Source organism: Homo sapiens, chromosome 17 (assembly GCF_000001405.40).
Source record: "Homo sapiens chromosome 17, GRCh38.p14 Primary Assembly".
NCBI classification, from domain to species: Eukaryota; Metazoa; Chordata; class Mammalia; order Primates; family Hominidae; genus Homo; species Homo sapiens.
In genome coordinates, this window is record NC_000017.11 from 37,186,443 (window position 1) to 37,209,512 (window position 23,070).

The 23,070-nt window shown below is 37.0% G+C and overlaps 1 protein-coding gene across 26 annotated transcripts in view; it reads right to left on the reverse strand.

Moving 5' to 3' along the window:
- The window catches only part of ACACA (acetyl-CoA carboxylase alpha), a 321,845-nt gene that overhangs the window by 101,451 nt on the left and 197,324 nt on the right, over nt 1-23,070 (reverse strand). For all 26 annotated transcript variants that reach the window (XM_011524701.2, XM_006721853.2, NM_198834.3 and 23 more), the window contains 9 exons: nt 21,215-21,358; nt 20,341-20,437; nt 19,323-19,430; nt 13,985-14,041; nt 13,697-13,741; nt 6,932-6,973; nt 5,648-5,863; nt 4,678-4,833; nt 1,835-2,038 (listed from right to left, as the gene is read on the reverse strand). In XM_011524701.2, coding sequence (XP_011523003.1) covers nt 1,835-2,038; nt 4,678-4,833; nt 5,648-5,863; nt 6,932-6,973; nt 13,697-13,741; nt 13,985-14,041; nt 19,323-19,430; nt 20,341-20,437; nt 21,215-21,358 — 1,069 coding nt within the window. The remainder of the gene's footprint in view (nt 1-1,834; nt 2,039-4,677; nt 4,834-5,647; nt 5,864-6,931; nt 6,974-13,696; nt 13,742-13,984; nt 14,042-19,322; nt 19,431-20,340; nt 20,438-21,214; nt 21,359-23,070) is intronic.

Sequence of the window (23,070 nt, forward strand, 5' to 3'; positions counted from 1 at the left end):
ATTAAAAAACAAATGAACGAATAACAGACATGGTTCTGTATTAACTTCATACAATGATTCATTAAAGAAAGGGAAAAACAGTTTGACAATAAGCACCATGTAGGCATTAGGAGCACCAGAACTGGGTTGGAGGCTGCTCCTTTTGTCAGTTCCCACGTCTAGCCACAGGCTCAAAAGTTAGTTCCCATATGGCAGTAGCTCTTGAACTCTCTCAAGTGAAGAGTCTGTAGAAGACCTCTTCCTTCAGGGCTTTTAAAATATGCAGGACCCTAGGTAAAAAGCGTTTTCCTTCAGGTTGAAGGTGGTTTGTTCATTCTTTCAGATGCTTATTGTGTGCTTATTTTGTACCATGTGTAATACTAAACCCTGATTGAAGGCATCTGTGCCTTTCACACTCCTGTGTCACCATTAGCTAGCATGAGGGAAATCTCAGAGTTTCCTAATAAAGGAAAGGAAAAAAAAAAAAAGAAAGAAAGTAGTTATGAAGAACAAACATATTTATCAAAAACATTAAAATCTCAAGTGGCCATCTTACTTTTCACAAGAATAGACCTGCCTTGAAGCTATTGTAGAAGTTAATTAAAAACATCCCTACCCATTGAAAGCTTTGACTGAAAATGTCTTTAAAGTTGCACTAAAAAAACATCAAATACAGCAAAAAATATTGAACACTCTTTCTCTTGGTCACCACTCACGCTCTTGCGCACTCTCTCTCTCTGTTTTTAACTGCTCACTTCTCATAGGATAGATTTCTCTAGCCACCTCACTAGGAATCAAAGCACAAAATGAAAGGTCATTCTGACTACTGTCCAAACTGAGATTTTTAAAAATTCATCTTCAAAAGACTGAAAAATATATTTTCCTGACTCTATTCCTGGATTTAAAAGGATATAGATAAAAACAAGAGACACATAATCTCTCCCTGGCACCCAAAGCACGGAATAGACTGAAACCCTTGTTTATGTATACTGGAGCAGGTTCATCCTTTAATCAGAAGAAATGCAATTCTTGAATTCAGGCCAAAGCCATAAAATATCCTAGTTCTTCAAAAATGTGAACAATGGTGAACCAACCTAATTTCAGTATCATAGTAAAGAGCCCAAATATTTAGAAACCAACGTAGTAAAAAAGATTAAAAGGGAATTCTCTGTTTCACAGAATTAGTGTACTGACTCACTTTCTATTTTTACATTCTCAGTTTTCCTACCTGAAAACGGGTTTAAATTTGCCACTTTGCTCTTGTATAATATATGACACCCTGAAATCTTTGAAGGAAAGGGAACAACATAATAGATAACACAATAAATATGATAAAAACAGAAACAGAACACAATAGATAAATATGATAGACACTGATGATGGTAGTGCTCATGCCACTATACTATGTTGAAATTTTCCTTCTTTAACATAGAAGTTGGTGACATAAATCCAACAATTCTCTTTTCCTCACTTGCCAATGAGTAGTTTAATTATGGTGAAAACGGAAAGGACGCATCAGACCAGAGATTAGATTGCTGAAATAACCCACGAGCCCTCTAAAAAAAGAGCCTAAATTGCAGAATAACCTCTGGAGTCAGGTTCACTTGGCATCTGTTAGTGCTTACCAATACATGACAAATGGTTAAGGGTTTTATAACATCCATGATAGAGAACATAGGCAAATCTTATAAGGCAGATGAAGTTTTTCAAATTCATACAATCATTTAATCTTATAGAGGATAATCCCACCAGGTGAACCAATGGGATTTGTGAGTGTGGGTCTTCTATAACAAGGACGAGTGTCTTATCTGTAGGACCAAATCAAAACTCTGAGGAGCCTGTTTGAGTATTGTACCTGTGCTGTCCTGGAGTCAGTCACTTCCTTGTATAGGCTGATATCCAAGTAATAGCCAGACTCGTTTGTCAGGAAGAGGCGGATGGGAATTGCTTTTCCAGTTGGCGTCAGGCGAATGTTGATTTTCAGTTCTGCCTGGAGGACGCGCAATTTCCACAGGCGACTTCCATACCGCATTACCATGCTCCGCACGGATTCCTCAATCTGACACAGACACATCACCAAGCACAAAACTTAAATATCTTCTAACTAAGACCTGTTTCAGGTCTGCTCATATTTGAGAAAGAAGGGGTAAAAAAAAAAAGAGGTTGGTTTGTGGAGATGCACACCTTACAAAAAGTGGTCAGATAGTTTCTCCCCAAACTATTCTTTCTTGGAACAAGTCAGGGACAATTTCATGCTGGCCTGGCATTTGAGTGGTTTTCTCTCGATAATAACACCCAAATCTCTGCAACTCCTTCCCCTTTCCCAATTATATTCATATTCTATATCAAAGATCTGCAGTATCTAAAATTACAAGCCATGGGATTTAAGAGGAAGCCCCAAATAAGAATAAAATCTCTAGTTAAATAGCTATTAAGTAGCATTTATATGCATGGTAACTATGTTTCACTGCACTTACAGGACTTTAAATCAACACAGCAATTACCACCATGAGCTTTTTTTCATACAGTTTTATTAAACTTTATAATATATGTCTCTTGGTAAATTGCACAAATTAAAGAAAGGCAATTTGTAGGTGGTGCTAGAACATTCTCTCTAAACAGAGCTCTGAAGCTTGGCCACTGCTAAGTCCACCTAGGATTTAATAAGATGGGGCAGATGTTCCCACATTTCTCTAAGTTTATACCAAGGCAGCTTAATGCTCTTAGTTTTTAGGGGTAGGACAGTTATTTTAACTAAATGGCCTTAGACATGATTTCTTGTTATTTACATGCTAAAGCAAAACTTTTTTTCCCCAACATGGCTGCACAGAACATAATGCAGCTAGAACATGCTATTCGAACTTAATGTATCCTTAAATGAAGTATCTTTCTAAAATGCTTCCTCAACTTCTTAGAAAATCTCAAGAATATCTTACATTCCCTTTCTCTTGTGGTTCTTTAGTAGCATGTGCCACCCTTGCAGTTTGTTTCTGCACCACAAAATTTTAAGTTAGAATGAATTTCAGGGAGTTAACCTCTCTATTATCATACTTGCTTGTTAACCAAGAGATATTTACCCATTCTTTTCTTGAGGGAACAAAAGCCAACAATCTTTATGTACAGAAAATTGGCAGCTATCTATCATTAGAAAAGCAGAGCCAGTGTATATGGGTGGTTAGAATGAAAGCAGAGGCTGATCTGAAAAACTCAGAGAAAAGGTAAGCCAAATCTAAAAAAAAATACAGCTGTACAGTGTCCATGCCATGTTTTAAGTTTCCCAGCTTATTAGTCCCAGAATGCTTAGGAGAAGTTTTGCTTAAACTAGATGATGAGATTTGAGTCAAATGAGTAGCCCTGTCCTTGGCGTTCCTTACAAACTAAAGCAACCCATCATTAGCTTGGAATTTTTAAGGGAAAAAGGTAGAAAACTACTTCTCAGATCTCAGATACTAAGTTCAAGAAGCAAAAGTCTACCAGGCATGATGACTCATGCCTGTAATCCCAGCACTTTGGGAGTCTGAGGCAGGAGGATCGCTTGAGGCCAGGAGTTCAAGACTAGCCTGGGCAACATAGCAAGACCCTGTTTCTGTAAGAAAAAAAAGAAAAAGAAAAAAAAAAAAGCAGCAGCAGCAGCAAAAATTCATGCCTACAGCTGATCTTGAAAAAGGGAGATACTGGTTCTCCTATCCAAATTCCACAGTATCATGATAGAAAGAGTTAGAAGGGGCCAGGCACGGTGGCTCACACCTGTAATCCCAGCACTTTGGGAGGCTGAGGCAGGCAGATTACTTGAGGTCAGGAGTTGGAGACCAGCCTGACTAACATGGTGAAACCCCGTTTCTACTAAAAATACAAAAATTAGCCGGGCGTGGTGGCACATGCCTATAGTCCCTGCTACTCGGGGAGGCTGAAGCATGACAGTCTCTTGAACCTGGGAGGTGGAGGTTGCAATGAGCTGAGATGGTGCCACTGCTTCAGCCTGGGCAACAGAGCGAGACTCTGTCTCAACAAAAAAAAAAAGAAAGAAAGAAAGCGTTAGAGGGAGCAGAAACAGAGAGCAGCCTGTCTTTATTACACTTGGGATAAAAGGTCAAGTACAAAATCACCTTGTTTTTCTTCCTTAAATTATATAGAATGCATTTCAGAATAGACCCTCAGGGAAGAAAATATACATAATACATGAGAAATTCCTTATCAGCCAAATTCTCTCCCTGTGGAAAAACACTAAAGAGAGATAGGTTAGACACTTTGAGAAGGTGCATTATCTCACTAAGGCCACCAGGTGATTAACATTTAGTGCACAGAAGCAGTAATTTAGCCAAAATGCTTAGTAACAGTAAAATTAATAATTCCAGATGAGAAATAGTAGGGAATAATACAAAACAGGACCACTATTATGGCAAATATAAAATAGGTACCAACAAAAGAAAATGTTTTCATGTTTTTGTACTGCTTATAAGTGACCAGCAAGCTAACACCAAAACCTTCAGTTTTGAGAACTGTTTTTTCAATGGCTATATCAAATTTTTGACACTGTCCCAGAAACTCAATCTTATAAACATTCTATAAACTTTACAGATTAAGGGCTCAACAGCCTGAACAAGGAGTACCTGTTTCCAAGTCCAAGTGAGATAAATATGAATGAACTTCTGTGCTTATGCTTGCTAGTGCTGGGAGAGAAGCTAAGGAGAAATGTACCTTTGATGGGTCCATGATAACCGTGGGCACAAAGTTGAGGAAGATGTGGTTACAGTCAGTGCGGACATTTGTATTGTTAAAAGCAACTTCCAACTCATCCATGGCTTCCAGGAGTAGCCGCTCCCCTTCATTTTGCAGATATTCAAAAGAAGCTTCCTATACAGGAAGAAAATAATCAACATTAATGTAGTTTAAAAGAGGCAATAAAGAAATGGCTATTATAATCACTTAAGCAGCAGTATATCATGAATCATAAGGCACTTGGTGAAGAGATTGTTTATCTTTCTCCCTAGAGTCAGTCCAGTAACCACAGGGAGCAGGGGCAGGAAAGGGCCAGATAAAGAGTCCATGTCAGCCCTTCCTCCTTACTTTTAGTGCATCATTCCCTTCCAAGAGGTAGAAATACTGGGCATCCCCATAGCTGTAAGTTCAATAGGATGATATTTCACATATGCCAAACAGAGCTATTTAGAAAGGAAAAGCTGAAGAAAGGGTACGGCTATGGGATATAATAATAATGAACACATCAGGAAGTGCCTTGCTATATACAGACACTACCCATACTTCTAGACAGGTGTACAATGGGATCACCTCTTTCCTAACTTATCTCCTTATGCTCTACCATCACCCAATTCTTCCTGTGATTTTTCTGTTTGTATGCTTTTTCTTTTCTTGAGTGTTATTATGCTTCTGCTACCAAGAAAAATCAAATTAAAGTGGAAAAAGAGCCTTCATTTTTTATTTTTTTTCAGATGCACTTTCTGCTTTGTAAAAAAAAAAAAGCCTTTATTATATGAAATATTTACTTTTGTAAACATTGAAATAGAACAAGAACCTTGATTCAAAAAATGAAAACCTGATCTTTTTTTTATGTTCTCTCTCAGCAGAAGCATAATACCTAATTTTGAATCATATCTATTATTCTGTCCCTTCCCTCAGGGATAACATCCCATTAAAGTACAGCACCCACCTTGGTGACCAGATCAGAATGCCTGATGATTGCACGAACAAAGAACCTGTAGTCTGTCACTTCTGTGCCCACTTCCACCTTGGCTGCCCCGAGATACAGGTGCATCTTGTGATTAGCACATGGAATGGCAGTGAGGTCAAAATTTCTCATCCGGTTCAGCTCTAACTGGAAAGCCAGAGCAGGCTCCAGATGACGATAGATACGATCCTCCTCAAACTGAGTACAAGAATCAGAGAAAAAACAGCTCACAAGAGGCAGTTACAAAATTATACTATGAATGTGAATGTAAAAGAGATGCCTGAAAATAGAAACATAAGCTATGATGTGCTAATGAGCAACAAAAATGAGCTACATTCAAGGCTAATGCTACAGCTTACATAAGATTAGGCACTAAAGTACCTATTATATAGGTACTTTATAGGATGATATTCCTAAACTTTCATCATTTATGATTTTACAAGTGGTGATGATATACATGAAAAACAAACAAAAAATCCTCAATTTCCTTAGAACTCCTACAACATTTAATGTCTTTATATAATTCATTTTTATATTAATTACAGGCTGCTTCACATTAATATCTACTTCACATGCCAATGTTTTGAGCTTACCCAACTAATCTAAAAATTTTCTCACTTATGATAAGTACAAAGGACATAATAAATACTCAACAAAGAAACATCATACAATTTTTTAATTAAAGAGATATTTGGCTTTGGAACACTATATCCATAGATATATAATTACTTATATATGTTTTTTAAAAGTTGTATTAGTATATAACTTTACTGTATTTACTGTATATGTACTGTATGTTTCAGTGAAACTAAAGTATTTTTCTGGAATACATGTCAATTGAGTGAATGGAGAGAGAGAGTCAAATATATAAGCCGGTAACAGGAAGAAAGCAACATGGTCTGAAGTTTTGTATTTTAAAATTGAAAAACAAATTCACATAAAGTAGAGTTGAGTATCAGTGAACTATTTGTAGATAACAAGAATGGTCCTTTAATATCACATCATTAGGATCATTCTACAGGACAAGGATGATTTGGAAAGGTATCACCTTCGTTGAGTAGCTCAATACATTTGGTTGTTTCCCAAACCAAACCCTTTCAGAAAGGAATTGGCTTTAGTTCTAAGACACATGTAAGGCAACAGGAAGCACAAGTTCAATAAGAGAAAAAAGAATGGCAAGAAGAACGTATGGCAAAGATAAGCCGCTCTTGGGCTTTTAAGAAAAAGTAATTTTTTTTTTTAAATAGGAAAGAAATCAATCCTTACCTTATCCCTTGCTCGGAATGTAAAAAATTTAGGGAATTCTCTCTGTATTAAAGAAGGGGGAAAAATGTGTCAGTAGTTCATAGACATGGCTCTTTGAGAACAAACAGTATAGAAACAGTTAAGCATTTAGAAGACAGTTTTCTAGAAAAACATGCTTCTTACCTAAGCTTAGTCCAGGAAATATATATGAATGATCCTCCGCATAACCATCACTTTGACCCCATTTCCAAATTTGAGAATCACCACATTATAAACCTAATTTTAGTATCTACCCTCTCCCAGGGGAAAAAAAATGTATGAATTTTTTAAATCTCCCAAGTGAAAAAAATTTTTTTGCTAGGTATTGCTCTTGGCACAACCCAGCAAATAAAACCAATATACCCTTGTGCCACAGTCACTGCAATAGTAGTTAATGGACTGATTTCCCAAGTTACTCTTTAAGAAACTCTTAAAATATAAACTACTCAGACAGTATAGAGTGCTCAGTCCATGATTTTCACATTTATTCTCAAGTCAATAATGTCAAGGGTTTAAATGATAACATTTGAAGATGAAGAAAAATATAAGATTCTACCTTGGTCACTACCACTATATGTATAGGAAAGAATAAGGTTAGAACTAGTGAACTTGTAATCATTAGGTCTTCCTGCTTTTTTGTAGGGCATTATACAAAAAAAAACCCAATTTACTAGAACCTTATTAATTAACAAAGATGAATTCAATTAGCAGAGTTCATTAGTTTCTGAAATTTAACTTACCAATGCCAAATACCCCTGTTTCTCGGATGGGAAGCTCTACTGGCAGTGCTGGAATCAAATCATTACTATTTGCCTCTATAGGAGGTTTCATTAGGCATCTTCTTCATTATGAGTGCAATATAATCAAACACTTATCAGTACAAGGCAGAGAGACCGGGACTAGCTGCCTACACATCCTCAATGAGCTTTAGGAAATGTGAAGGAAACATGGACTGAAAATCTTCTGGTGGCAGGTACTCTCATGTGTTGTCCTATCTGATGCTCTCAACAACCTCTAGGGGTAGATATTGTGACCCTCATCTTGCAGAAGCCTTGGCTCAAGTATATGCTCAGAATCACAGAGCTGGAAGATAAACTTGGGTCTCTCTAGTGCCAGAGCCCATGCCCTCTGATCTCTCAAGGGCAGAGTATTACCTTTCTCTTTTTATTATAATCTAAATTCCTCATTTAGAGGATTTCTCTTTGATGAGACAAAAACACAGAAATTAAGACTTTAAATTTAAAAAGCAGAAAGCAAACAAAGCAAAACTCATGCTGTAAACCTGTGGTTCTTGAATTTCCTGAAAATTTCTTGAATACGTTCCATAAGTGTTACACCTCACTCTCACCTTAACTAAAGCTTGCACAGTTAATAAATCTTTTTATCTTTTCCTTGGTATTTTAACTGTAAGACTGCATTTAAAAGGTTCCTAGGAGCTCATTTACCAACCTCAGGGAAATCCTTTTTTAAAAGCCTTTTTAAAGTGGATTTTACACAGGACTGAACTTCTCCTCAAGTTTTGTTCTAAATAATTCTCTGACACCCCCCCCACCCGTTATGAGAGTGAAGCACATAGGACTGACTTCAAGGTTAAGTAAGATGCATTCAGCTGAGGTGTCGATAAATATCATGCTCATGGTTTTATATAACCTAGTTTTGGTTTTATTCTAGTGAGGTACAGCTTTCAGAGCATTACCTAAAAAGTAACAAATGTCAAAAAAGGAAGAATGACAAAATCTTTCCATGGAACTCTCTGAAAGAAAAGTCAAGGAAAGTGATAATATGATATTTTACGCACACACTTTTCTATTCCGCCTTAACTATTATTAGCTAATTAATTAAAATGTTTGTTTAGGATGCCATTTATTTAATTATGTACATTTATAGGATCAAAACCATTTCCTTTCAAAAACAAAACAGTAATAAAAAATGCTTTCTTTTCCACTAAACCAATTAAGAAAATTTGTAGTAACTGAAAGGCATATAAAGCAGTTTGAATGGAAATGCCTTTAATACAAATAATGAAGAAACTGACTAATTCTTGGCAGAGGTGGGCAATGACTACCAATTAGAAAAACCACTTTCATTAAGGTTAGCTAAGAAAAGTTGTCATGAGATCATATAAACAACTTTTTTTTTTTAAACTTCTGAGTAAATTTGTAACTCCCCGGTAAAATCCTCAATTTAAGTATTAAACATTCAGAACAAGAGATGGCAAGAACCTCTGTGCAATGGAAAAGTGGAACTACTAAGCAATTCTTCAGTGACATGGAAGTCTGAAGACTCTTACAAAAAGTAATCTCTTTTGGCACTCAAAAACCACAGAATCACAGAAAACACAGAAAAGAAGAAATCTAAAAGTCTGATCCTACAGTTTTAGTAAATTCTTTTATCCTATCTCATCCTCATACTGCCAGTTTTTCCACTGAAAGCATTCATGCTTATTCCATCATCAATGTATTTGCTTTCCAAGTATTCTACTAGTGTCATGGGCAAATATCATAATTGAATGTACACAAAGAAAAACCCTCTTAGTATTCTGGTACCAAAAAACAAAAGAATGCAACGTTTCACAGGAAGAAATTATGCCCTTGCTGTGTTCTAATCAGCCAACCATCATCAAGACAATCAAAATAATTTGCCCAAATTAGCCAATCAAGACACCCCGCAAATCAGAGAATGTGAAAACCTGCAACAAAAAACATCATAGCTGATTATGATACTAATAATCGTGTTAAAAACCTAATGAGATGAAGAAATTGGGAGCTTGCTGGTACAATTCTCTTTTACCTCAACATGCTGAGAACTAATTATATAGACTGTAATTAAAACAAAAATCCAAACCAACCCTTCTGAAAACTAATAGTTGGTCCACTACCAAACAGAACTATCTTAAAAAAAAAAAGAAAAAAAGAACTACTAATTATGATAACTGCTCATATAGTGAGCTCTTCCTTCAAGGTCCAAATAATCCAAAACATTTCATTTTAAAGTGGGAATCACACAATAGTCATAAAACAACAACTCTCTCTCGGGAGATATGTAGACCTTTTTTTTAAATCTCATGAAATTTTACAAGAACAAAAGGTAACATTTTATTAACAGATGTAAAACTGTTTGATTTAGAATCTTATCATGGTTTTAGGACTTAATGGGGGATAAGAAGAAGTCCTGAAAATTTGTATTCCGATGTCCTTAGCCAAACTTTGCTGAAAAAAATATGGAAAGCTTAAAAAAAAAAAAGCATAATATTATATCCCAATTAGACAGCACTTTCTGCTAAATATTTTGGAATTCCAGACCTAAAATGTGAGTGAAACTAAGACAGAGTGAGTCAATAAGTTTTAACTAACAGAAAACTGTGGAGTTGCAGTTTAGATAGCTGCAGAAATTCAAGAAGCCTCTTTTCCATTCAAGACTTTGATCTTTTTTCTTTTTTTTAACATCTTGTCCATTTTTTTCTTTTATTTTTTATTTTCAGATGAACATCATGATCTACTTTATTTTTTCTTAACAAGTAGAATATATTTACAAAAAGAGACTTGTTTTTCCTCAAAGTTTCTGTTTAAATATCAAAGTTAGGCAGTTATTCAAATTCCATTATGGGCACTTGATTTAATTAGATGGTTATGGAAACAGAGTCAACTCCCAGCCTCCTTAACACTGGTGAAGACTGCTGTCACAGAAATAATCTCCATGCAGTGTCAACGGACTAGGGTGGCAACAGACACCCTAAAAATGTTTTAAAGCTGTGGGCAGCTATCTGGGACAACTGTGGCTAAACTACGAAGTATTGTAAATGCTTATAGCAATCACTGTCATCCAAATCAGTACCTAACAATATACACAGCTCTCTAGCAACCTCTACTCTGGCCCTCATTTGTCTTATTCTGGTTCTGAGGCAATTTGAAAGACCAACAACTATATAACAGCACAGCTTGCTTTATTCCACTAACCAATGTGCTTGAATCAAACTTGGTAAACTTCCTCCTCTCCTTGCTCCCTCAAGTGCAAATTCTCTCTTCCATTCAATAATATAGGGATTCCACAGCATTGGACAGGGGAGGCTGCATACATCACAGTGGATTATCAAGAAGCCAGAGAGATCAAGGGATTCATCTCTGACACTCCCAGAAAGCTTCCTCTTTTTCACAGTACACTAACTATGGGGCAAGCACAATCAGATGACATGACAGAGGCTAAATAAGCATCCTTCATGAATGTCAAGCTACCATCAGCAAAAGAACTCACAGCAGCACCACGACAGTGACCCCCAGATTTGTACAGTTTCTGCCAACGCTTCCTGGCTAGTGTAGATCCTGGATTGTATAATAGATTCTGGATGGAGTTCGGTTTAATAGTTGCCCTTGCACCTTGCAAAATCACTTATCATTTTTAAAGGGACTAACATAAAAACACCCCAACTCCTCTGCCATTCAATTCTTCAGAGCAAATGCAGTCCTCACTTAAACCTTAATGTTCTCTATGCTCTAAAGCAGCTTTTCCTACACTCATGACAAATCAAGTCACTTGATAATTTAAGTGATTTCCCACTTGATGCCACTATAAATAGGAATCAGACAATGATTGTCACGGAAGACCCCCTGCTGGCCTCATTTTCTAGCCGATTTTGCCTATACATGTCCCTATTAAACCTAGATCCAGAAATATCAGGACAGCAGAGAGAAAAAAATGTTTTAAAGCTGTTAAGTATACTCTTAATACTAGGGCATATTTATAACTATACACTATAGATTCAGAGATAAGAAAGGGTTTTTTTATGTGTTACATATATGAGAAAATGTCAGTGAGAACTAATCACTTTGGTTTGCTAAAAATTTTAGTGAACAGTTTTAGTTGATCAGTGTATTTATTATAGAAACCAGTTAGTGTGCTATAGATGTGAAGATTCCATCTAATCCATTAGCAAAAAGGAAAACAATTTTACAAATTTAGTGTTATTCCCTAGAATATGCTGTTATTCTAAAGTCGGTGATAAAAAGCACAGTAACATTTAAGAACCTAGCACAATACTCTTCTAAAATCCAGGGCCTGGCTCTGGCATGTCTACCTTAGTTCTGATCAGCATCTACCAGCCACAGTGTTTATCCATGGGCTTTCATATTCTATCCCAAAGTATCAATTTTATTCTCTAAGCTCCTGATTTTTCTTCCTAAAGCCCTAGGGTTCTTTTTAAGCTCCTCATACTTCTCCACTGACTCCGTTTCCTATCTAAAGTTATTGATTGACATATATCTACACTCTGCTTGATTTCCTGACATCAATAACACAGGGGAGTCATGCAGTCCACAACATTTCCTAAAGCATTTCAGAAAATCTTAGCTCTCTTGTTTCTCTATAGACTAGACCAACAAGGTGAACTGTATGAAGGAAAACAAAATGTCAAGTCTTGAAAACCTAATAAACAAAAAGGTAATAAAAGCAATCACACATAGGTCCTTGAGTTTAGAAAGTCCTTTCCAGAATCTCAAGTGCCATCTTCATTGTTGCAAACAAGCAAGGCTTAACAACCAAATTATCTTAATTGCTAAAACCAAACCAAACAGGCTGGGCACAGTGGCTCATGCCTGTAATCTCAGCACTTTGGGAGGCTGAGGCGGGCAGATCACCTGAGGTCAGGAGTTCGAGACCAGCCTGGCTAACATGGTGAACCCCTGTCTCTACTAAAAATACAAAAATCAGCTGGGTGTGGTGGCACATGCCTGCAATCCCAGCTACTTGGGAGGCTGAGGCAGGAGAATTGCTGCAACCCAGGAGGCGGAGGTTGCAGTGAGCTGAGATTGCGCCACTGCACTCCAGCCTGGGCGACTAAGCAAGACACTCTCTCAAAAAAAAAAAAAAGAAAGAAAAGAAAAAAAAGACTTCTTAACATCCTCTAGAATCTTAGTTAGCTACATTAGAATCAATTTTTATGAAATATTTTGATTATAATCAGTCATTTTGAAAACAACATATTGATTCCAAACTGGATTTCTGGCCTTACTGTTGTCACTGTACTGGGTATGATCATACGGGTATACCATAGTTTGGATGCCAGGCTATTAACTTAATTCTCTTTTCAATAAAAATTTTAATCTCATAAATATTAACAGTTAATTCAGTTAAATGGGAGAATAAGCAACAGAGTGTTTAATTTTTACTTATTTCCTGTTCCTACGATTAACATAAGACAAAAAATAGCAACTTGGCTCTATCAAGGCATTTTAAATAATAAATCATTGTTCTTTAGAATTGAGACTTCTCAATAAAGAATCCAAGACCACAAAATGCAACTGGCTGTCCTTGATTATTGATTCACTATAAGCACAGAAGAAATTACTAGTTAGCTTGTTTCTACCTTATTTATCTGGATAAATGCTTATGTTCATTCTTAACTATTTCTCAGAGATATATTGAGAATTCATTATAGGGTTAAAAAAAAAAAGAAGAAAACCTTTAGCTGGAACACTTGATATAAGAATTAAAAAAAATTTTTTTTTAATTAATAGAGGACTGGGTCTCATTATGTTGCCCAGGCTCATCTCAAACTTGTGGGCTCAAGCAATTTTCCTGACTCAGCCTCCCAAAGTGCTGGGATTACAGAGAACTGAATATTTATTATAATAATTTCTAAAAGAAGAAGGATCAAATATCAGTCCAGCCCTTCTAACATATATTCTGGTTAAATAATCAGTGGCAGACAAATAAAACAGTAAGTAATCTTTCATTATTGTTCATTTTACTTACATGAAATCTCCGATCCACCTCATAGTTGACCTGCTTTCTGAAATCCTTTCAAATAAAAGAGAGAAAGGAAGGAAAGACAGCAGAAGTTGGCAATTAGTAACAAAATCAAAAAGAAATTGAGTAAAAGATGATGAGTTAAACTAATGTTTTTTAAAAATGAAACTTACAGAAAAGTGGTTATTTCTCTGCATAAATCCTATTAGTAAGTATAAGATTACAATCCCATTTTTATTAAGTTGTAGCAGCAGCATAAGAAATATTAAAGAGGTACAATTCACATGTCAGTACCTTTTGTGCAACCAGGAAAGTAAGGCGCCGGATCCCATGGTCAACCAGGGTAGCTTTCTAGGAGCAAAAACATGTAAAACAGAAGATAGATGAGATTTCCATTCATTCTAAATTTTATCCCATTCGGCCCTTGTAAGGCTTTGGTGGAGTTAAACATCCTTTTTGGATATCCTTATCTTAGCTTAGTACCTTCAAACTTGCAAGTGAACAAATTTCAATCTGGCTCCTAGGACTAAGTCTTACGAAATAAATTTTATATTGATTTGGACAAAACTGAAAGAGAACTTTGTGGAGGAGAAAGGGTGATATGAAGTCAACTAAATTACCTCAGAACTGATTTACATAAAGGTAGGCCATGACACAATTTCTGCTTATAGAAATCATACTGTTGGGCATGTATTCAAATGTAAACATTAATATTGATAAAGATGCTAAATGAAATTAGGTAGAGAGAAAAGAAGGACTTTCCATAAAACATAAAACACAGGTCCTAAACTGTTTAGATTGTAGATGTTACCTACCATCAGATACAGCATCCCTAGAATTCAGTCTAACAAATTGTAACCTTTCAGTTTTGATACAACAGTCCCCCCTTACCTTACATGAAGGCATTTTTTAAAAACTCTCTCTTTTAAAATTGTTAAAAGCAATATTTAATAGGCCTTTAAATTTAGGAACTATTCATATCTCCACTAGGCATAGGCGACTAGTATATTAGAAGTCAACAGAAGGCTGGGAGTGGTGGCTCACGCCTGTAATCCCAACACTTTGTGGGGCCAAGATGGGCAGATCACTTGAGGCCGGGAGTTTGAGACCAGCCTGGCCAACATGGCAAAACCCTGTCTCTACTAAAAATAGAAAAAAATGAGCCAAGTGTGGTGGCACATTCCTGTAATCCCAGCTACTTGAGAGAATGAGGCATGAAAATCGTTTGAACCAAGGAGGCAGAGGTTGCCGAGATTGCATCACTGTACTCCAGCCTGGGTGACAGAATGAGACTGTCTCAAAAAAAAAAAAAGAAGTCAACAGACACCAGTAGTTTCAAGACAGCCACTTATACGAGTCTTGGGCATCTGGACCTAAAGCCTTCCTCTTCCCTATACTGTTCACTTGCTTCAAAAGGCAGGGACAAAGAAACAAATTAATGAATTAAGTAAAAGACATGTGTTTAGAGGTCCCCAACAAAGAAGGATTATAACAGCAAGCAGAAAAGCAACCCCACCAGTTGAATGACCTGAGAAAACATATGAATAGTACAAATAGAAAAGTAATGTGGACTTTCACAGCCTACATCCAGACTTTAGTTTGACCACATTTCTTGCTATAACTCCAACCAAGAGATATGTTTATAGGCCAGTTCTTAACATTCATGATATTATATATTTTTTAAAATTTAAATTGTCTTCCCCTTATAAGGAAGCACATTCTTGGGTTATTTCTTCCAATTTCTTCAATTCTGCGATGGCATTGCTGAGTAATAAAATTAATTTTATTAACAGCATAAACAAAAGATAACTGGAAAAATTAATTTTCTATAAGCAAATAATAAAATAATAAATTATCAGGCCAAATATAAATAAATTTTGGTTTAACTGCATTAAAAAATTATTTGTACTGCCATCACACACCTTGCTGTAAATAACCAAGTATTGACACAACAATATGAAAAAAATGTGTCGAAGGAAAGGAGGGGTTTCTCAGTGTGGCCAGGAACAGAAATACTTCTTCTGACATCAACAAAGATTCCACTACAGTCAAGTCCTTCAAAGACAAGCATCAGTAGCTATGTTCTGGCAAGGGAAGAAAATAACTTTAATAATGCCATGATTTAAAATCAAAATTGTTATTGCTTTTAAAATTCCACAAGTGGCTGACAATAACAGCAGAGCAACAGGATTCTGATTACATTGTAATAATGCAGGTCTCACAGCAAGTCCACAGCTATTACCCAGCGATTAGGCATCAGCACCTGGAGAAACTCCATTTACACTGACTGCTTCAATCTCCTCCACAAGTCATTTACAAATATATGATCCTAATTTCTATGAGAGAAAAAAAGACATGCTGGGACTAGAAGATTATTTGGACAATTTGGATCAACCTATTTGATAGTTTAATGTGTGCCTTAAAAAAAAAAACTTTTTCTAAACTGCTAGGAGCATGATCATGAAGTGAAAAACAAAACTAGTTGCCACTTTATCTTTTGTTTTTTTCTTAAATTGCTTTTCTTTCCTTTTCTTTCATATATATATATATATATATATATATATATATATATATATATATACACACACACATATATTTTAACAAGGAGATGAAAATGCCAAATGTCCCTGGATAAGCACAGTACCTGATGCAGTAAATAGCTTCTCTATGCTTAGAGTGTCAGCACAGTCTACCCTTACCTTTCTAAATAGCCTTAGGCAAAGATATTGGATTTCTCTGTGCCTTAGTTTCCACACCTAGTCAAGGAAAAGGGTAATTTCTTATTTCTCATTAATGTTACAAACATATGTAGCGAATATGAAGAAAATGCTTTTTTTTTTTTTTTAATTGAGATGGAGTCTTGTTCTGTCGCCAGGCTGGAGTGCAGTGGTGCAATCTCGGCTCACAGCAACCTCCGCCCCCAGGTTCAAGCGATTCTCTTGCCTTAGCCACCCGAGTAGCTGGCGCTACAGGCGCCCGCCACCACACCTGGCTAATTTTTGTATTTTCAGTAGAGACGGGGTTTCACCATATTGGCCAGGCTGGTCTTGAACTCCTGACCTTGTGATCTGCCCGCCTTGGCCTCCCAAAGTGTTGGGATTACAGGCGTGAGCCACTGCGCCTGGCTGAAAATGTCTTTGTAGATCAACATGCGTTGATAAGTATGACACTTAGATTTGAGGGCAACAAGAAGTGTCAAGTTGTGGTCAAATTATGGAAAAATACTCAAACATGGGCAATTAGTGCCTCAAAACCTAGGAAGAAACTTTCACAGATTATTTCATGAAGCAGCAGCAGCAGCAGCCACATATAATATTAAGACTCTTCCAGGCCGGGCGCAGTGGCTCACGCTTGTAATCCCAGCACTTTGGGAGGCCGAGGCAGGCAGATCACCTGAGGTTGGGAGTTTAAGACCAGCCTGACCAACATGCAGAAACCCCATCTCTACTAAAATACAAAAATTAGCCGGGTGTGGTGGCGCATGTCTGTAATCCCAGCTACTCAGGAGTCTGAGGCAGGAGAATCACTTGAACCCAGGAGGCGGGGGTTGCTGTGAGCTGAGATCGCACCATTGCACTCCAGCCTGGGCAACAAGAGTGAAACTCCATCTCAAAAAAACAAAACAAAACAAAACAAAACAAAAAAACTCTTCCAGCAAAGATTACCTTGATCACTGGCTTTAGGTTAATTTTATGTGGTCACTGGCCAAGGGCAAGAAGGAAGGTAAATTTCTGTCTACAGAAAAAGCCCTAGGCATATCCCCTACTTTCACTTCTCTGGAAGCACCTTTTCCTCATACTGACCACTGCAATCTCATAGTTAGTTTAAGTGCTACAACACCGTCATGGAATAAGTACTAAGACTCATAGTCATCACAAATTTACCATTTTTTCCCCTAGATATCTACCATTGGCATTACATGATGTGAATGCCAATGGTACGAACTGTCTACACCACTGAATTAAATTTTGAAAACATCTACTGAGTTCTTTCTCTGCAAGAAGTCCATGGGCTAAGTGCTGTCCACTCCAAGAGAACACATGGGTCTTGCCATCAAGGGCAGTTTAAGAGGACACTTTGCTATCTATCACATATCATAATGAAATATAACTGTAGATTATTGTTTTAAGCATGCCTATCCTGTCCCCTCAACTAGACTATAAGCATCTTCAGGGCTAAGAATGTATTATTTACTAAAGTACCTAGATCTGTGCCCCCTATACCTGGCATCAAATCCTTAAGTTCTAGTATTTGCTCTATCATCTTCTAGCTGGTGACCTAGGGGTCTTAATTTCTCTGAGCTCCAGCTTTTGCCCATGTGTACAACTGGAACAATTCCTGACTTATCTAACCCCATGGAATCGTGGTAAGATGCAAATAAAAAATTTAGGTAGAATTTTTTTATAAATAAAAGGCATTATTATTGCTAATAAATGTATGCTGACCAATTAGGAATTCAAAGGAGGAACATACATTTTAGTTAGGGCTACTCAGAAGTCCTCACTGAAGAGATGAAATTTGAGACAGTTCTTAAGACAAACAAGATTTAGAAAGAAAGGTGAAAGAAAACTTTCTAGGAAAGAGGAAGTCAAAGAAGTATAATAAATGAGGCACATTAGACAATGAACACAGGTCTTTTCACAAAATAGCAAAGGCTACATGTTAGTCTCTCAATAGGCTGATGATGTTGAAGCTAAAGTTAAGGAGGTATTCTGAAGGTCAGAGAGAATCACTGTTAAGTGGGAAAATAACATGGTAAGAGCACATTTGGGACATTTAATTTTGTGGTGATGAGCAGAATGGAAACTCTTTGGAGGGAGAAAGTGAAGGAAGATAAGTAGATCACAAGTAAGCCTGCTGCAGTGTCTCAGGTATAAGATAGTAAGGGTTTGAATTAGAGATGGCAGTGGGAATTTTAAAACTGGAAAGAAGAAAAAGAGAAAGGGTAAAAAAGACTGCAAAGAAAAACTAACAGACCTTGGTGACTGACCAGATACAAATAAATATGTACAGATTGTGGGTAGAGGGGTAGAATGAAGGAATGTCAAGGAAAAAGTCAATGACTTTTGAATGATTGGGAGTAAAAGGTATAGTGAGTTGTGAGGTTTTTTGTTTTGTTTTATGAGGGGATTGGAGAGGGACGAGAAGAGGTGAAGCAAAATGATGGAAAATGTCCATTTAGACGATGGCGTTTGATGTCAACAGGAGATATCCAAGTGACGTAAAATTGAAAGGAGGATAGATGTATAACTGATAGTTTCAAAGGAGGGGAGGGGAAGACACAGAAGGGACCTAAGGGGAGTTTAGGCTTAGACATGTGGAAAGTCACCAAAGGAAAATACTTGGTAGGTGATTCGAAGTTCAAGACTGGAGCTCTGGGAGAGATTTAGGAAGATAACTTCCCTTAAAAACATTTTAAATATTTGAGGTCTATTATCTGTTGACACACAAAGATATTCATTATATATTATTAAGTCACTTTGGGATTTTATCCCTAAATGCAGAACTAGCCATAGTTCTGAGAGTTATGATAAAAGACATAGCCATAAACTAGCAACTGATAAAAGGATAGCTATGATACACAGCCAGTAGAAAGGGGACATCACGAGCTTCCACCCAATCAAGAACTTACATTTTGCTGGGTAAATTCTCTGAACATAGCTGCCAGCCTGTCATCCTCAATATCACAGTCAGTCTTGATAGCCACATTGAGAATGTGAATTGGTTCATCCCTGGGAACCTGTAACTCAAGAACACAAGTCAAAGAAATTATGAGGCTGGCCAATACAGATGCAGATAGAAGTTATAATATTTGGTAGAATACCTGAAAAAGAGATACACCCCACAGGATATTTTGGTTTGCCCAGCAGTAGGAATGAGCAAATTGAAACCACTGCCCAATAGCCACAGAGAGATTAAATCAGGTAAAGCATATAAATTTTAAAAGATAAGGCAGCAGAGGCATTAGTAACAGGTGGCCCAATCTTTACTTGGCATGAAGCTGAAGATCACTATGTCTCACCTTTTTTACCAATAAAATGGGGGTGAAACTATTTGCCACATCTCTTCACAGAATGTGAAGGAAAATGAGTGATATAAGCCATCTGGACATGTTCCCACATAATATATTTCCTTACAATTTATCAAACAATGGAAGTATCAAATCATGAAAAAATAACATCATAGAGAAAGAATAATTTATTTACTGATAAATAAAAAGAAATGATTTAATAAAAAGACAAAGTTTTCAACAAAATGCCTACTTTTTTTCTGTAATCTAAAGTCCTCCATTCTCTGAGGACTATGATTGCACCACTATGCAAAAATATAAGCCATGGCTGAGTAAGAATTCCAGCAACCAAAGCCCAAATCCTTAAAACAACATTCAGAGATTCAGAGGCAGCTGCAATGGACATAGCTGAGCCCACTCTATACTATGGACTCCAAAATTAATATAGTTTTTTTAAGTTAGGATTTATATTCCACTTGTTTCCAGAAAATACTTTGGTGAGGCATACAAAATTAAATACTATAAAGTGGGGTAAAAGGATGAATTCTTTCCTATAATAGTTCAAAGTCAGAAAGATAGTATACAGTAGAAGTCCCATGTCTGAGGGGAACAAAGCAGTCTCCCAAAAGGGACATTATACCTTATCCTCATCATAAAGAGACGTGTGACCTGCCTCAGGGAATGTGGGACTCTGGGGTGGGGAGTCAGAGAAGCAGCCCATCACTTCATCAAAGATCCTAAAAAATACAAGAGAAACACCCACCATGAAAACTCAAGTGGCATGAAACTAACACTGCCATTGGCAGCTGAGTCTAAAAGAATAATCTATCTTAGCCTGGGCTCAATAGTTAATTGAATAGAATCACCAGTGGCTAGAGGTGACATGCAAAATTTCACCAAGTGGCAGAAATTAGGAGGATGGATTGTTTAAACTTTAATAAACCATATATATTTTTTCTTTTTTAGAAAGAATGATCTAAAGCTTTTTTGTTTGTTTTGTTTTCCTCATATGTAAGATATGAGCACTTCTGTCATCATCGGTCTTAAAGTAACAGAAAGTGTCTGGAACTGGAGTAGTGACAGACCAATGTAATTACCCCTCCCCCTAGGGTAATGCATCAGTATACATCAAGAGATAGATGCTGAATGCATTTAATCAAAAGATGTATTGTCTCTTGTGGGGCTCACTCTAGTGTTATGTTTAATTTCTCCTGACATTTCACTCATCACAGAGCAGACAGCTTCTTCTGTTAGCTCCACAGGAAAAGATGGTTTTTGTTTGTTTCTTTTTTTCTGACCAGGCCCATACTACAAGTAGAGGCTTGTAGAATCTGAATGAGAGGTAGAAATGCAAGGATATATACCTCTCCAACGGCATATACAGCAAGGGTTACATCTTTTTAGCTGGCTCATGGCTATTCGGGAGACCTTTATTCATTTTGCAGAAAGATGAGACCCCAAAACACAGATGTCCATGGCTCCCCTTGTACAGACATAGTTCCACAATGTCTTACCTGACAAAATCTTCAAAAGTCCGAAAAGAGACCATTCCGCCCATCCGCTGACAAGGTGGAGTGAATGAGTTGTCCAACAGTACATCGCTGACACTAGCTACATGGGTCATGCCATAGTGGTTGAGGTTGGAGGAGAAGGACATTCTAAATGGTAATTCAATCACGTTCATTAGACAAGGAGGGTAGGAGCAAGGACTGGGAAAGTAACAGTAGGGAAAAGGAACTAGGAGAAAACTCTGAAGTAGGGTCAGGTTGCAGAGCAGATTTGGTTTTTTTACCCACTATGGATAAGGTTGTTTTGCTGGATTCATGTTAACCCTTTCTTTTGAATTTCCCTAAATAAACTATATTTTCATCACTCCAAAATTTCTTCAAATAAAAAGCTAAGAACTGTTAGGAATTTCCAGGCAGTTTTAACACAATTACATTATAAGATGTCCAATGAATGAATAGCACATAGGGGTTAAAAACCATCCTGCATCTTCCCCCTCCCTAAAGCATTCCCTCCTTTAAAAGGAAGTAAGCAAGCCAAGTGAGTTGTAACTATGCAATGCTTAAGGCATTTTGTTTTCTAGGAACTGTAATAGAGTAAGTATTCACAGATACATAAAGAGATAGGTATATATATGTATGTAAAACAACAATTGTAATTAAGTCACCTGGAATGGTTTAGTAAATAATTATATAAAACATTAGGGTACAGAAACAGGTCACAGTCTATAAAAGGAACTTTACTGAGGAATTTACTTTCTCCTTTAATGGGTTGGTAGGCATAGTTATTGGGGTTACAGTTCTCCCTTTTTGAAAGAGAGCTATTTTTCAACCCCAAATTGCACGTTTTTCTTTTCATAGTTAAGCACTTCTATACCAAAACAAAAAAATCTCCATTGAAAGCCCTTAATAATTTCCAGCAAGATACAAAAGGGCAGAGCATGGGTCTCAAAGTATGTGTAAGCATGACAAGCAGCTGCTAAACGGAGATGCCTGAAGAGAACTGAACTGATTTGCTCAATCTAAAAACAATGAATCTCTATATTTCTTGATGTACCTTAACAGTATGTACTGATAAATAATACTGTAAAGTGTTTCTGAATGCTCAATCAGGACAGCCTGTTAGGAAGGACCAAGCTAAAGGATGCCTCCAGGACTTGCCTGACATGTTACCAGCATACTGATCTGAAGCAAGTTCAGGGCAAGGCAATGGCACTTGAATTTGGGGAACTGCCCCAAAAATCTCCTTGAAGTACACCACCTGCGGTGTTGCAGGGGGAAGAGAGACGACAACGTGGACTTGATATCTGGGTACATATTGTACCCTATCGCAAATCATAATTACAAGGCAATGGAATTCTTTGTAGGATGGGAGTGCTGCTCACACAGACTATAGAGACTGACACTCCAGGTTTTTATTCCTTTGGCGAGTGATGACTATGGAAAAGGTACATCATCTTTTGACAGTACTTGGGAGTAGAAGGCAAAGTGGGAGAGGAAACCATTGATACAATGAATGAAACAAACAAATGAAACACACATCAAGCAAGTCTTACACATGGTGCTCACTAGAAACTGGGATTCAGAGTTGTATTACCACAGAAGTGCTATCATCCTCCTCTTTTCTAGGATCACCAAATATATTTACTAAAAAAGCAAGTTTGTGAGGCATTGTATCTTTTCTACTTGCTTGGCATTAGACAGGAAAGATAAAAGGGTTCCAGACCACATTTAAAGGGAACTCCCTCTGAAGAAGTTAACAAACTATGTTTGTGGCAACCATGGGGTTAAGTAGCTTTTTCACTCAACTGAACCCCATGGGAAATATCGACTATTCAGTTTCCCCTCACTGCTATGCTTGTGAA